At 59.6% G+C, this 13737-nt stretch overlaps 1 protein-coding gene across 2 annotated transcripts in view, besides 2 other annotated features; it reads left to right on the top strand.

The window, feature by feature from the left end:
- The window catches only part of TMEM255B (transmembrane protein 255B), a 57770-nt gene that overhangs the window by 38773 nt on the left and 5260 nt on the right, over window positions 1-13737 (top strand). Inside the window, exons 5-8 of one of the 2 annotated variants that reach the window (NM_182614.4) lie at window positions 1341-1421; window positions 2829-2914; window positions 3655-3814; window positions 6887-7030. In NM_182614.4, the coding sequence (NP_872420.1) occupies window positions 1341-1421; window positions 2829-2914; window positions 3655-3814; window positions 6887-7030 (471 nt within the window). The remainder of the gene's footprint in view (window positions 1-1340; window positions 1422-2828; window positions 2915-3654; window positions 3815-6886; window positions 7031-13737) is intronic. The other variant, NM_001348663.2, reaches the window with a different exon arrangement.
- Window positions 3162-4036: an enhancer, noted in NCBI's record as "H3K27ac-H3K4me1 hESC enhancer chr13:114504133-114505007 (GRCh37/hg19 assembly coordinates)". NCBI's record gives its function as "activates a minimal SCP1, AML or CMV promoter by ChIP-STARR-seq in primed H9 embryonic stem cells {active_cell/tissue: H9 hESC(primed)}" and the evidence as "EXISTENCE:reporter gene assay evidence [ECO:0000049][PMID:30033119]".
- Window positions 5742-6300: an enhancer, noted in NCBI's record as "H3K4me1 hESC enhancer chr13:114506713-114507271 (GRCh37/hg19 assembly coordinates)". NCBI's record gives its function as "activates a minimal SCP1, AML or CMV promoter by ChIP-STARR-seq in naive H9 embryonic stem cells {active_cell/tissue: H9 hESC(naive)}" and the evidence as "EXISTENCE:reporter gene assay evidence [ECO:0000049][PMID:30033119]".

Raw genomic sequence — 13737 nt, forward strand, 5'->3', positions numbered from 1 at the left:
GCTCCATGAATGTTGCAGATGGTCGGATGGATTGATAGTTGGATAGGGCCACAAATGGGTGTATGGCTGAATGGTTGGATGGATGGATAGAAGGATGGATAATGGGTGGATGACAGGAATGGATGGATGGGTGGATGTGGATGAATGGAAGTATGGATGATGGATGGATGGATAGAAGGATGGATGATGGATGGATGGATGGATGTGGATGAATGGAAGGATGGGTGATGGATGTGGATGGATAGAAGGATGGATGATGGATGGATAGATAGGAGGATGGATAACGGATGATGGATGGATGGTGGACAGATGGAAGGATGGAAGTATGGATGACAGATGGGTGAATGGATGGATGTGGATGAATAGAAGGATGGATAATGGATGGATGATGGATGATGGATGGACAAAAGGATGGATGACAGATGAATGGATGGGTGGATGTGGATGAATCGAAGGATGGATAATGGATGGATGATGGATGGATGGTTGGATGATGGTTGGATGGATGGATGTGGATGAATGGAAGGATGGATGATGGATGTGGATGGATAGAAGGATGGATGATGGATGGATACATAGAAGGAGGGATAATGGATGATGGATGGATGGATGGAAGGATGGATGACAGATGGGTGGATGGATGGATGTGGATGAATGGAAGGATGGATAATGGATGGATGATGGGTGGATGGATGGAAGGATGGATGGATACATGGATGGATGGATGGATGGATGAAGTATGGATGACAGATGGGTGGATGGATGGATGTGGATGAATGGAAGGATGGATGATGGATGCATTATGGATGAATGAATAGATAGATGTAGAGGATGGAAGGAAGAATGGGTGGATGCACAGATGATTGATTGGATGATTGGATGGATGGTTGGGTGGGTGGGTGGATGATTGGATGGTTGGAGGGATGAGTTTATTGGTCTGAAATCCTTCTTGCTACCTTCCTAGTAGAAGAGACAATATTTTCTTTTATGAAACGATGCAGGAGCCTAACACCTGTGATGTGGGGTGGTAGGGATGCCCCTCAAAAGGCCAAGCACCTGTCTCCCTTCTGCTGCCCTTGTTGACTGATGGAGAATATGCATGGCCCGAGGTACCCTCCCATGGGGCTTTCTGCTGTCTGGCCTCCTGGATGCAGCAGCCCAGCTGCTCTGCAGGGAGCGTGGAGTCTCCCATCTTGTGTTCTGTGTCTGGGAGGCTCAAGTTGGTGTTGGCCTTGGTCCTTGAGGCCCTGAGCCTGAGACCCACAGGCCTGAAATTGCCTCTGGCCTCTCCCGCCTGGAGGCACCTGTTTTATTCCATCTGTGTTTATCTGTTTCTCTAGGAACCGAGGCCCCTCACCACGGGAAGATGCCAGTTTTACTCCAGTGGGGTGGGGTACTTGTACGATGTCTACCAGACAGAGGTGAGCAGGAGCACTGAGATTCATGTGGGTTTTGCTCAGCTAACCCCGCCGACCCCACGCGGTTTTCCCTGCACATAGGCGTGGTCTGAATATTTTGATTCTAATAGTTCCTGGGGGTCACCCCTGCAGCTGGTGAACCGTTGATGCCCCCTGTGTTTGGGACCTTGACATTTCGATGTGCTGTATTTCACTCTGGAGTCAGAGTTCTGGACTTGCTTCATTAAATCACAACAGTCTCAGAGTGCACGTGTCCAGTTCTGTATGGCTCTTCCAATTAGCATTTTTCTAATTTAATTATTGCAATAAGAAGCAAGGATAATACATTTACAGTGTCCGAGAAACTTCTGGATTTCCCTGAGCCACCGACAGCGGCAGTGTGACCTCATTTCTCTTTCCAGGTGAGTGAGATGCGGGGAGTAATGACCCGCGGGCGGCCGCCGCCTTCGCCAGGACCGTCGGAGGGCACAGCTCTGTGACGGCGCTCTCTGTGTGTCTCGCACCTGCCCTGTGTGGATTCCTGGCTTTAACTAAACGCAGCCTCTCATCCTCAGCACGCGTGTCAGAGGAGGAGGAGCTGGAGGCCCTCTCAGTGGCCAGCACCTGCCAGCTTGTCTGGGACTCTCCAGCAGCTGCCGGGAGGCATCGTGTGTGTGTGTGTGTTTATGTGTGTGTGTGTGGGGGGGGGTAGGCAGGAGGCGTCCCGTGTGTGTTTAGGGGGGAGGTGTCCTGTGTGTGTATGTGTATGTGTGTGTGGAGGTGTCCTGTGTGTGTGTGTGGGGGGGGGTAGGCGGGAGGCATGCCATGTGTGTATGTGGGGGGGAGGCATCCTGTGTGTGTGTGTGTGGAGGTGTCCTGTGTGTGTGTGTCAGGGGAGGCGTCCTCTGTGTGTGTGTGTGTGTGTGTGTGTGTGTGTGTGTGTGTGTTGGGGGGTGTCCCCTGGCCAGGGCTTTCAAGGTTGTCACACAGAGGTGGCAGGTGTCTCTTCTGAGGCTGCCAGTGCTCAAGCCTGGGGGGAGAGCGCCCTGGGACGGGGCCTGTTCTGCCGCCCTCCGGGCTCTCAGGCTTCTGTGCACCCCACGCCGAAGGCCTCCTGGGCTCTGTCCTTCTGCCCACGCACCCTGATATTTCCCTCTGCTCCTGGGATCATGGAGAAGCAAGGCCTCTCCTCTGAGCCCCGATTATCCGGCCTCTGGGACCAGCCTGTGCCCCTGACCCCTCCTGCAGGAAGGGTCCTGGCCCCCGAGCCCCCAAGCCTCTGTGTCTGGAGTCGGGGGAAAGTCGGGGGAGGCAGCTGCTTGGCTGGGCCTCAGTGGCCGCTCCCAGCTCCCATGAGGCAGCCCTGCCCTTGGTGGGGTGGGTGAGGTGGTGGGCACCGGCATGTGACCTGACAAGGCCTCTCTGCCCCAGGTCACCTGTCACTCCCTGGACGGCAAGTGCCAGCTGAAGGTGAGAAGCAACACCTGTTACTGCTGTGACCTCTATGCCTGCGGGAGGTGAGGGGCACCGGGGACCCCCATATCTACACCTGCGGGAGGTGAGGGGCGCTGGGGACCCCCGTATCTACACCTGCGGGAGGTGAGGGGCGCTGGGGACCCCTATATCTACACCTGAGGGAGGTGAGGGGCGCTGGGAACCCCCGTATGTGCCTGCAGGGGTGAGGCCTCCATCCTTCTGCTCCTGACATCACCCCCCCCACACCCCTGCACCTACATCGTCTCCTTTACTCCTTAGATGTTTACATGAGGAAAGGACATTGAGTCCATTTCACAGATGAAAAGACAGAGGCTCTGAAATGTTGATCTGCCCAAGAGGACACAGCCCGTGTGTGTCGGGCGAGAGTTTAAACCTGGCCTGGCCTCTGAGGCCCCAGGCATGGCCCCCTCTTGGGACAGGGGCCCGTGACCCCGACGGCCTTCCCATCCTGGCGTGAAGACAGAGATGGCTCAGCCGGGGCCCAGACACCCGTCCTGCCAGGCCATCGAGGCGGAGGGGCGGGCCCGCCAGGCCCAGTTGCCGCTCTTTGCCACTGTGGGCCCCAGGTGGGGAGCCTCACAGGCCAATCCCATCAGACATAGGTTTGATCTCCCAGAGCAGTGCAGGGATGGGCGTTGACTGGGCTCCAGCCCTGATTTCCTCCCCCAGCCCTGCAGGGCTCAGGTCCAGAGGACACAAGTTTAACTTGCGGGTGGTCACTTGCCTCGTGCGGTGACGCCATGGTGCCCTCTCTGTGCAGCGCAGAGCCCTCGCCCGCCTACTATGAGTTCATCGGCGTCAGCGGCTGCCAGGACGTGCTGCACCTGTACCGCCTGCTCTGGGCCTCTGCAGTTCTGAACGTCCTGGGCCTGTTCCTGGGCATCATCACCGCCGCCGTCCTGGGGGCCTTCAAGGACATGGTGAGGCCCCTTGGTGGGACCCCCGCTGCTCACTGGGAGCCGGGGCTCCGGGTCCATTTCCCCGGGGTGGGCTGGGGGGCCTCCAGCCCTCACTTTACAGATGGGGCACTGAAGCCCATGCGTCTGTCAGCAGGGTGTCAGGGTGACAGCTGGCGTGCACCGACTCACCTCGGGGCCGTCCTGTCCCAAGCCTGTCACAAGAATCACCTGATTTAATCCTTGCCTCCCCGCTGAGGTGGGCACAGCCGTCCCCAAGAAACAATGTTCAGCTCCAAGAGGGAGGCCCAGCCCTTGTGCACTAAGCTCCCATCATTAGCAACTGCCTGGGGCTTCAGATGGGCAGGTCTGGGCTGGGGCTGAGCTGATGCCTTAGCAAACCCCAGAGGCGAGACCCATACAGCCAGGATTGGCCTGGGCAGGAGGAGGGAGGGAAGGGGCCCCTCGCGGGAGGTGGGCTGGACCCATCCTGGAAAGGCCGGCCCTCGCCCGGGAAACCACAGGGAAATCACTGGCCCGGGCCGGATGTCCTCTCTCTTCTCCCTCCTCTGCCCTCTCCTGGCGCCTGTTTCAAACCAGATGTTCTCGTGGTGTGCGGCCAGCAAACCCCGCCCCCTGAACTTGCAGAGAAGCTGTAAGGGATGGGCAGCCAGGAGTGAGGGAGCCCCAACCCCCAGAGTATCCAAACGGCAGCCCAGGGACGAGGGGCGCCCCCTCTTGCACCCACATGAGGAGGCCTGGCAGCACCAGGCAGACGCACATCATGCAGGCCAGACCCGGCCCAGCGAGGCAGCGAAAACACTCCTGAGCGGCTTCTCCATGCCCTATTCGTCCCAGAGGCTGTCCATGACTAAAAATTAGCTCAGCTGGGAACCCTCCTGCCATCTGCTTCTCAGCTCCTCCTTTTCTCAACACTTTTGTGCTTCCAGACAAAACTGGTGAAGCTGAGAGTGACCCTGGCATCCCGAGGTCCAGCCCTCTGGCTCCCCACCCAGTGGCCCCCCAAGCCCCACCCTGGGCCCCCAGACGCCCGCACACCAACACAAGACAGGCACCTCCCAGGGGTCCTTGCTCTGTGGTGACAGCCGGCCGGCCCCTGCGGTGGGAGCGGGAGTCTGGGGTCGGGAAGGGTCTCTGCCGGGATCTCGCGGGCTCCGGGCGCCTTTGGCGTCTCCTCGGTGCAAGCTTCTCTGCCTCGGCAGCTCAGTGTCTCCTCTCAGCGGCCGTCCCAGGAGGAACTGCAGCCGGATTGTAGACAGGACACAGAAACGCTTGTCTGGTGCAGGCGCCATGCTCGCCACACAGGCCCGGGGTGTCCAGGGTTTTCCGGAAGGGGCTCGTGTGTTCATTAAAGCCCGTGATAAAATGCTGGAGTGCAGGATCAGGAACAGGTGATACCTCCAGGGCCAGCCCGCAATGCAGAGCCACACCGGCTCCAGGAAGTCTTCCTCGAACCCAAAGCTCAGGGCTGCAGAGCAAGGAGAGGACTTGCTAACCTTCACACCCACCAAGCAGGCCCTCTTGTGAGTTTAACTGATTTTGCCATTTAAACATTTTGTTAAGGAATGAAGATGCTTCCTTCATTCCTTAACATTCCAAGCTGGACGTGCCCTTCGTAGACGAGGGCAAATTACTTGTGATGGGTGCGTGGGAGGCACTTAACGTGCCGGCAAGGGCGGGCGGCTGAGCCAGCCTCTCAGGGGCCTCCTCCGCGTGTGACTCCGTGGCCCCCGTGTTCTCTGCTTTCTGTGCACTCGCCCCGGCCCCATCCTCAGGCCACCGCCAGCTCAGAGGCCTCCCCACCCCTCTACCTGTCAGAACTGCAAATCTCCTGCCCCTCCCTCACGGAGCACGACCCTCCATGCCCATCCAACCTCCCAGGCCCACCTCGGCTGCCCCCCTGCTCTCTGCAGGGTCTGAGGCAGAAGCACGGCCTCCTGCACATGTGGACCAAGGACCAGCTGCCCAGAAGGCCCTGCCCCTTCCCACCTTCCAGTGCCCGCTGGGCAGGGGGCTCCCTCCCAGCCCCAGGGGTGCGGGCAGCACCGTTGTCTGAGGACACCTCAGGCCTGGGGTCATCACCCTGTCCCGGGGTTTTCACCGTGTCCCCGGGTTGTCACCGTGTCCCCGGGTCGTCACCGTGGCCAGCCCCTCGCAGCGGCTCTGGCCTGGCTTCCCCGCCTTTGCCATCTTCCCCTGGCTTCCTCCAGGGTGCTGCTGAACCTGGGGGTGGGGGCTGGGGAAGGTGGAGGGGCACCTGTGTGAAGGTGGGGAGGGAGGCGAAGCCCGGGTGCCCTCGGCCCAGTCCCCGCGTTTCTGGCCCGGGGAAGCCCTGAAGCTTGTGTGAGCCATGGGCCCCTCCCTCTGTAGGGGATGAGGCCGGCCGGGGCCTGAGTTGGAGCCAGCACCTTCTTTGGAGAATTTTAACTGCCTGAGTGAGTCAGTGAAAGTGTGGACGGGAGCTCAGGAGACTTTGGTTTTGTTCGCATTCCCCAGAAACCCCACGCTGGTTGGGGCACAGGCTTGGGGAAGCGAGAGCCATCAGCCCGGTGCTGAGAGGGCCCTCCCCACCTGCACCCTTCTGTGCCGAAAAAGCAGACTTTGGGGCCCGGAGAGAAGGAAACCAGTGCTTTTTTCTCCCCCCCCAAAAAATCAAAAAAGTAAAAGAGAGCCCGAGCCGAGCGGTCACCCAGTGTGACTAGCAGGTGGCGGGGCCCTGGGACCAAGATGTAGAGAACCTCAGTGTAAAGCTACGCCGGGCCGGGGTTAGCTCCAGCCTGGGTATAAACGCACGCCGGGCCGGGGTTAGCTCCAGCCTGGGTATAAACGCACGCCGGGCCGGGGTTAGCTCCAGCCTGGGTATAAACGCACGCCGGGCCGGGGTTAGCTCCAGCCTGGGTATAAACGCACGCCGGGCCGGCGTTAGCTCCAGCCTGGGTATAAACGCACGCCGGGCCGGGGTTAGTTCCAGCCTGAGAGTCGGGGGTCGAGGGTGCTGGGCTTTCTAGGAAGGCTGGACAGCCCTTCCCTCCACTAGGGGGTACACGCCGACCACCCGTCTCCTCTCCATGGCAGGTGCCTCTGTCCCAGCTGGCCTATGGCCCAGCCGTCCCACCACAGACCCTCTACAACCCCGCCCAGCAGATCCTGGCCTACGCAGGCTTCCGCCTGACGCCCGAGCCCGTCCCGACCTGCTCGTCCTACCCTCTGCCCCTTCAGGTAGGGCCAGCATCACCTGCTGGAGTTGGACGCGCTGGTCACAGGCAGTGGGATGGACAGGATGGGGCTGGGGTCGGAGGGGATGAGGTCTTGCAGCCGCCTCACCTTCTGGATTAGGGATGGGAGGTGGGGGGCAGTGACAACCCTGCCGTCAGGGCACAACCTCCCTGCAAGTATGGCCGGGGACCGCGCCAGGTGGCCCTGGTGACCCGCCACCATGCTCTGCCGGCAGCTGGCTCTTCTGACCCCGGGGCTGGCCCCGCACAGGCCTGGGCAGCTCCCCGCTGCAGTGGTGGAGGCTCCTGCGTTTGTCTGCTGGTGGACATCCTGTGGGCATGGCCAGGTTATTTAGGTGGAGCCATATGGATCTGCCAAAATCCAACCCCATTTTACCCGCAGACGTGGAGACATCATAGGGTTCATCCTGACATGATGCTATTGACCTTGGAGATGACGGAGGGAGAGGCCATGGTGGGGGGCGAGCAGGACAGTGGCCCCTGCCTGCCTGTCCGATTTCCACTCCTGGGCATGACCGCCTTCTGTGCCATGAAGCTCTGTGCTGTGGCCATGGGTGAAACAGACCGGGCCACGTTTCTTACCTCGGCACTGTAGGCATTCAGGGCTGGCCAACCGCTGTGCTGGGGCACCCTAGGTGCTGAGGGTGCTGGTGGGCCCTGGCCTCTGCCTGCGGCATATCAGAGCCGCCGGTGTGACAACCCAAACTCTCCGGACGTGTCCCGTGTCTCCTGCCTGGACGTGCCGTGTGCCCCCGGGGACACAGTTGAGAACCCTGGTCCTGATAAACGTGGGCTTCCTTTCTGGGTGGGAGGCACTGCCCACATGCCCGGCTGACTGGCAGGTCCTTTTGCGTGAGTTAACAGCAGCCTCTGCAGAGAGAGCTGTGTCAGGCCCAGCCCGATGAAGCTGCAGATTAAAGCAGGCACCGTGATGTGTTTCTGTGCGGGGAAGGGCAGGGTGAACGTGGGGAGTCGTGAGTTTTGAAGTCACACATGACACAGGTCTTCAGATATTCCACAAGAGGACCCTCTCCCGACACATGACGTTGTCAGGAAAAGATCTTCCTTAGAGGGACATCCGGGGGAGGCCTGTGCACACTCTGCCCTCACGTCCAGGACAGAGAGGGCTCAGGTTTGAGCGGGGCCCGAGAGCCACGACCTTCTCAGCTCACCTGGGGACCTGCACCAGGGACCCCGAGGAGGGAGCAGGAACCAGCACTCATGGAGATGGTGCGTCTGGGGGTCCCTGGGGTCCAGGGGCCTGTGGGGCTGCTGGGGGTCCCTCGCGTTCAGGGCCTGCTTGGGTCAGCCACCTTCAGCCATGCCCGGGACACAGCAGCTGTTGGGCTCAGTGGAGATGACCAGGGCCTGACAACATCTCCTCGTGGAGGGATCCCTGCACCTCATACCTCAGTCTCCCCTCTCACTTCGAATATAAAGCTGGGGCCCTGCTCCCTGGGAACACAAGGCCCCTGCTGGAGGTCTGGCCTGGAAACATCTTTTCCATTTCTGTGACGGGGGAAGATGTGGTCCCCAGGGTCAGATGGCGGGAGCTTTTGCCAGCGACCCTGCAGTGGTCACTCCTGCAGGCAGGCGCGTCTGCTTGGTGCCACAGGCAGCTTCATCCTTCCCCAAGCCTCCTGCCCCTGCCCCAGGGACGTCCCCATCATGGCAGGGACCGTGCCCCCAGGGCCACAGCCCTGTCCTGGGGGCTTCTCTCTGGCCTCCTGGTCTCCCGTGGGAAGTTTGCCAAGCCCAGAACTGGAGGCCCGCAGGGGTAGAAGGAGGAGGCCCGCAGGGGCAGAGGTATCTCCAGGGACGCTGGGCCTGCAGGTGCTCCCCAAGCGGCTCTACACAGACACAGACTTGGAATCGCATGGGTGCCAAGAACGTGCAGCCCAGAGCATAGCCTCGGTGGCCCATGCTGTCTTCCATCCTCAACCTCAGCCGCTGCCCCTCAGGGCCCCAGAGGAGAGACAACACGTGGTTCCATCAGCCCCTTCCTCTTCTCTGGCTCCAGGGCTGGTTTGGGCCGCCCTGGTGCTGGGGCCCGGCTGTCTGAAGCTCTGGCTGTGAGGGGCCCGGCTTCTCCAAGTTTGCATTCTGACTTGGGACCTTGGAGACAGTGAGGCTTTGTGGAGGGAGGGGCTGGTGACTCCCTCAGGCAGGTGTGTCCTCCCTGCCTGTGAGCCCCACGGAGGTGTAAGATGTGGGGGTGGTCCTTCCCGTCACACGCAGGCTTACGGGATGTGGAGGGTGGTCCTCCCTGTCACACGCAGGCTTACGGGATGTGGGGGGCGGTCCTCCCCGTCACACGAGGGCTTACGGGATGTGGGGGTGGTCCTCCCTGTCACACGTGGGCTTACGGGATGTGGGGGGTGGTCCTCCCCGTCACACGCAGGCTTACGGGATGTGGGGGTGGTCCTCCCCGTCACACGCGGGCTTATGGGATGTGGAGGGTGGTCCTCCCTGTCACACGCAGGCTTACGGGATGTGGGGGGTAGTCCTCCCCGTCACACGCAGGCTTACGGGATGTGGGGGTGGTCCTCCCTGTCACACGTGGGCTTACGGGATGTGGGGGGTGGTCCTCCCTGTCACACGCAGGCTTACGGGATGTGGGGGGCGGTCCTCCCCGTCACACGCAGGCTTACGGGATGTGGGGGTGGTCCTCCCTGTCACACGTGGGCTTATGGGATGTGGGGGGTAGTCCTCCCCGTCACACGCAGGCTTACGGGATGTGGGGGGCGGTCCTCCCTATCACAGGAGGGCTTACGGGATGTGGGGGGTGGTCCTCCCCGTCACACGCGGGCTTACGGGACGTGGGGGGCACAGGGGCAGATCCACTTCATCCCCATGGTGCTCCATCCTCATCCACCCTGGGGCTCTGGGTTTACGCAAAGGGTGGATGTTCCCCTCTTCCTCTGGGGAGGCCTGGGGCCCTCAGATGGCCCAGCCAGCCTTTGTGCCAGGCCAGCATGTGTGGGAGCTTAATATACGCACGCTGATAATTGGATTTCAGAGATGGCAAATCAGATGAGGCTCATGTGCTCCTCAGAAGAACAATGGAGGAGGGGCCCTGCTTCCACAGAGATGGAGAGAAAATATTCAGGGTGTTCCATGGAAGTCGTTAGCAGCAGAAAATACTCCCACTTGAGACAGTGGGGGATGGGGAACAGTGACTTGGTGGGGGAGGTTTTGAGCAGTTAATAAAAAGGACAATTTAAAGAGATCACCTTCCTTGCACCCAGCAGCTTTGCCAGGCATGAAGTGCAGGGGAGGACGTGGCATCACAGCAGAAGATGAGTTCCTGCCCCGTTACTAAGAAACATGCCCTCCCTTCCCCTGTGAGATTACTCGTGGGCAGGGCTTGTCCCTAGGGGGGCCCTGTCATTCAGTGGTTAACCCCGTGGTCCCAGGGTTTACTCTGTGGTTCCTGGGGGTTTATTCCATGGTTCCTGGCGGTTTACTCCATGTTCCTGGGGGTTTACTTTGTGGTCCTGGGGGGTTTACTCCATGGTTCCTGGGGTGTTTACTCCGTGGTTCCTGGGAGTTTACTCCATGGTTCCAGGGGTATTTATTCCGTGGTTCCTGGGTGGTTACTCTGTGATTCCTGAGGGTTTAACTCTGTGGTTACTGGGGGTTTACTTCGTGGCTCCTAGGGGTTTGTTCTGTGGTTCCTGGGGGTTTACTCCGTGGTTCTTTGGGGTTTAACTCTGTGGTTTCTGGCGGTGTAACTCTGTGGTTCCTGGGGGGGGGGTTACTCCATGTTTCCTGGGGGTTTACTCCGTGGTTCCTGGGGGTTTACTCCTTGGTTCTTGGGGATTTATGCTGTGGTTCCTGGGGGTTTGCTCCATGGTTCCTGGGGGTTTACTCTGTGGTTCTTGGGGATTTATGCTGTGGTTTCTGGGGGTTTACCTCTGTGGTTCCTGGGGAGATTACTCTGGTTCCTGGGGCTTTACTCCATGGTTCCTCGGGGTTTACTCTGTGGTTTTTGGGGGGAGGTTATGCTGTGTTTCCTGGGGGTTTACTCTGTGGTTCCTGGGGGTTTACTCCATGGTTCCCGGGGGCTTAACTCTGTGGTTCCTGGGGGGAGGGGTTACTCTGTGGTTCCTGGGAGTTTACTCTGTGGTTCCTGGATGTTTACTCCATGGTCCTGGGGGTTTACTCCATGGTTCTTGGGGATTTATGCTGTGGTTCCTGGGGGTTTACTCTGTGGTTCCTGGGGGTTTAACTCTGGTTCCTGGGGGTTTACTCTGTGGTTCCTGGGGGTTTACTCCATGGTTCCCGGGGGTTTAACTCTGTGGTTCCTGGGGGGAGGGGTTACTCTGTGGTTCCTGGGAGTTTACTCTGTGGTTCCTGGATGTTTACTCCATGGTTCTTGGGGATTTATGCTGTGGTTCCTGGGGGTTTACTCTGTGGTTCCTGGGGGTTTAACTCTGGTTCCTGGGGGTTTACTCTGTGGTTCCTGGGGGTTTACTCCATGGTTCCCGGGGGTTTAACTCTGTGGTTCCTGGGGGGAGGGGTTACTCTGTGGTTCCTGGGGGGAGGGGTTTACTCCGTGGTTCCTGAGAGTTTACTCCATGGTTCCTGGGGGTTTACTCCGTGGTTCCTGAGTTTTACTCCGTGGTTCCTGGGGGTTTACTCCGTGGTTCCTGAGTTTTACTCCATGGTTCACTCGGTGGTTCCTAGGGAGTTACTCCATGGGTTCCTGGGGTTTATCTGTGGTCCTGGGGTTTACCCCTTAGTTTCCTTAACTGCTCATCTGCTGTGAAGAAGAGTGGGTGCTACAGAGTTGGAAGTTGGGAGCTCCCAGCAGACTTGAGAGAATGTTCCCTAGTGTCTCACTCTGTCGCCTGTGGCCAGAAACCTGTGTGAGTTTCGGGGGAAGAAAGAAATGAGGTTGGCAGGTGTCCCTGAACCACTGGATCCCATGAGCCTGGGCTGTCAACCTCAACATTGCAGTCCCTCTGAGGAAGGGCCCCATTCTCAGCCTTACCTACACCTGTGCAGAAATTCTGCTGTCAGGATCCAGAGGTCCTGCTAGCTCCCAGGGCGTCTGCAGTGCAGAGCTCTCCAGGGAGAGGCTCAGACAGGCAGCTGGCTTCTCTGGGGATGCTGAACACGCAGGCTCAGACAGGCAGCTGGCTTCTCATGGGACCCTGCAGGCTGGGGCAAGAGGAGCACAGAGCACATCTGGTAGCTTGGAGTTTGAAAAACTCTTCCTGTGTTATTTCTTAGAAGGAGTTTGTTTGCTTTATTTATTTAAAATTTGATTAGAAGTTCCCCCTAGAATTTAAGGGGAAAAAAAGAAAAGAATTAAGATGTGTGTTAGCAGTTGGAGAAAAACTAGAATGTATCAATTTAAAATCTGTGCCGTTCTTCGCTTTTCTGGTCTCAGAATTACTTGGGTGGGTCTATGTGTGTTAGTCAGGGCTCTCTAGGGAAGCAGAGCCTATGGGAGAATACAGGTACCTACATATGAAGAGAGAGATCAATCCATCGATTCTGAATGACTGGCTGATGACTGTGGGCTTCAGGTGCACAACCACAGGGAGGGGGCAGGCTGGAGACCAGGGAGGGTGACGCTGCCCCGGGAGTGCCTAGGCCACTGGGGCAGAGTCCACTTCTCCTGGGGACCACAGCCTCTTTCCTTAACGCCTTCAGTGGAGAGGAGGGGCCGTCCGTGTCCAGGGGCTGAGGCACTGTACGCAAGGGTGTCAATCACACCTGAAGATGCCTCCACGGCAACACCCAGATGCGTGTGTGAGCCGCTGAGTCAGCCACGGTGACACTGAACCAGCCACACGCTGCTGGACGTGTGGACGTGTGGGGTTCATACGTGGGGCCTTTCCCAAATATGAAGAGTTGGGTGAGCCCAGGGGCCCCAGGCCTGGTGGACCCTAACTGTTGGTTTTGGAGTCAGGTCAGAGGCTCGCTGGCTGTGAGGAAGTGGGATGTGGTCTGAGGACACCCTTCCTGGGGCGTCCACCCCCTGCCCCATGCAGCTGTGGAGGCCAAGGTTGTGCCAGTGAGGCCCCGGCCACCCTCTCCTGTTCTGCCCCGGGCTGGGGCTGCTCCTTCTGGTGGCCCTGGGTCTGTGGGGTGGGGGCCCGTGAGAGTGGTCCTGGGTCTGTGGGGTGGGGGCCAGTGAGAGAGGTCCTGGATCTGTGGGGGGGGCCGGTGAGAGAGGTCCTGGGTCTGTGGGGTGGGGGCCCGTGACAGTGGTCCTGGGTCTGTGGGGGCCCGTGAGAGTGGGCCTGGGCCTGTGGGGGGGCCGGTGAGAGTGGTCCTGGGTCTGTGGGGTGGGGGCCGGTGAGAGAGGTCCTGGGTCTGCGGTGGGGGAGGGGGACGTAAGAGTGGCCCTGGGTCTCCGGGGGAGGGGAGGGGCGTGAGAGTGGCCCTGGGTCTGTGGGAGCCCGTGTGAATAGCCCTGGGTCTGTGGGGGGCCCGTGTGAATAGCCCTGGGTCTGCGGGGGGCCCTGTGTGAGTGGCCCTAGGTCTGAGGGGGCCTGTGTGAATAGCCCTGGGTCTGCGGGGGGCCCATGTGAATGGCCCTGAGTCTGCGGGTGGCCCTGGGTTGGCGGGGTGGGTGGGGAGCGTGTGAGTGGCCCTGGTATATGTCAGGCTTCCCTGTGGTCCGGCACGGGGTGGTCTCACCTGCTAACCCAGGGCCCTCTCTGTTTATTGCAG

The sequence above is a fragment of the Homo sapiens genome, chromosome 13 (genome assembly GCF_000001405.40).
Source record: "Homo sapiens chromosome 13, GRCh38.p14 Primary Assembly".
In the NCBI taxonomy this organism is placed as follows: Eukaryota; Metazoa; Chordata; class Mammalia; order Primates; family Hominidae; genus Homo; species Homo sapiens.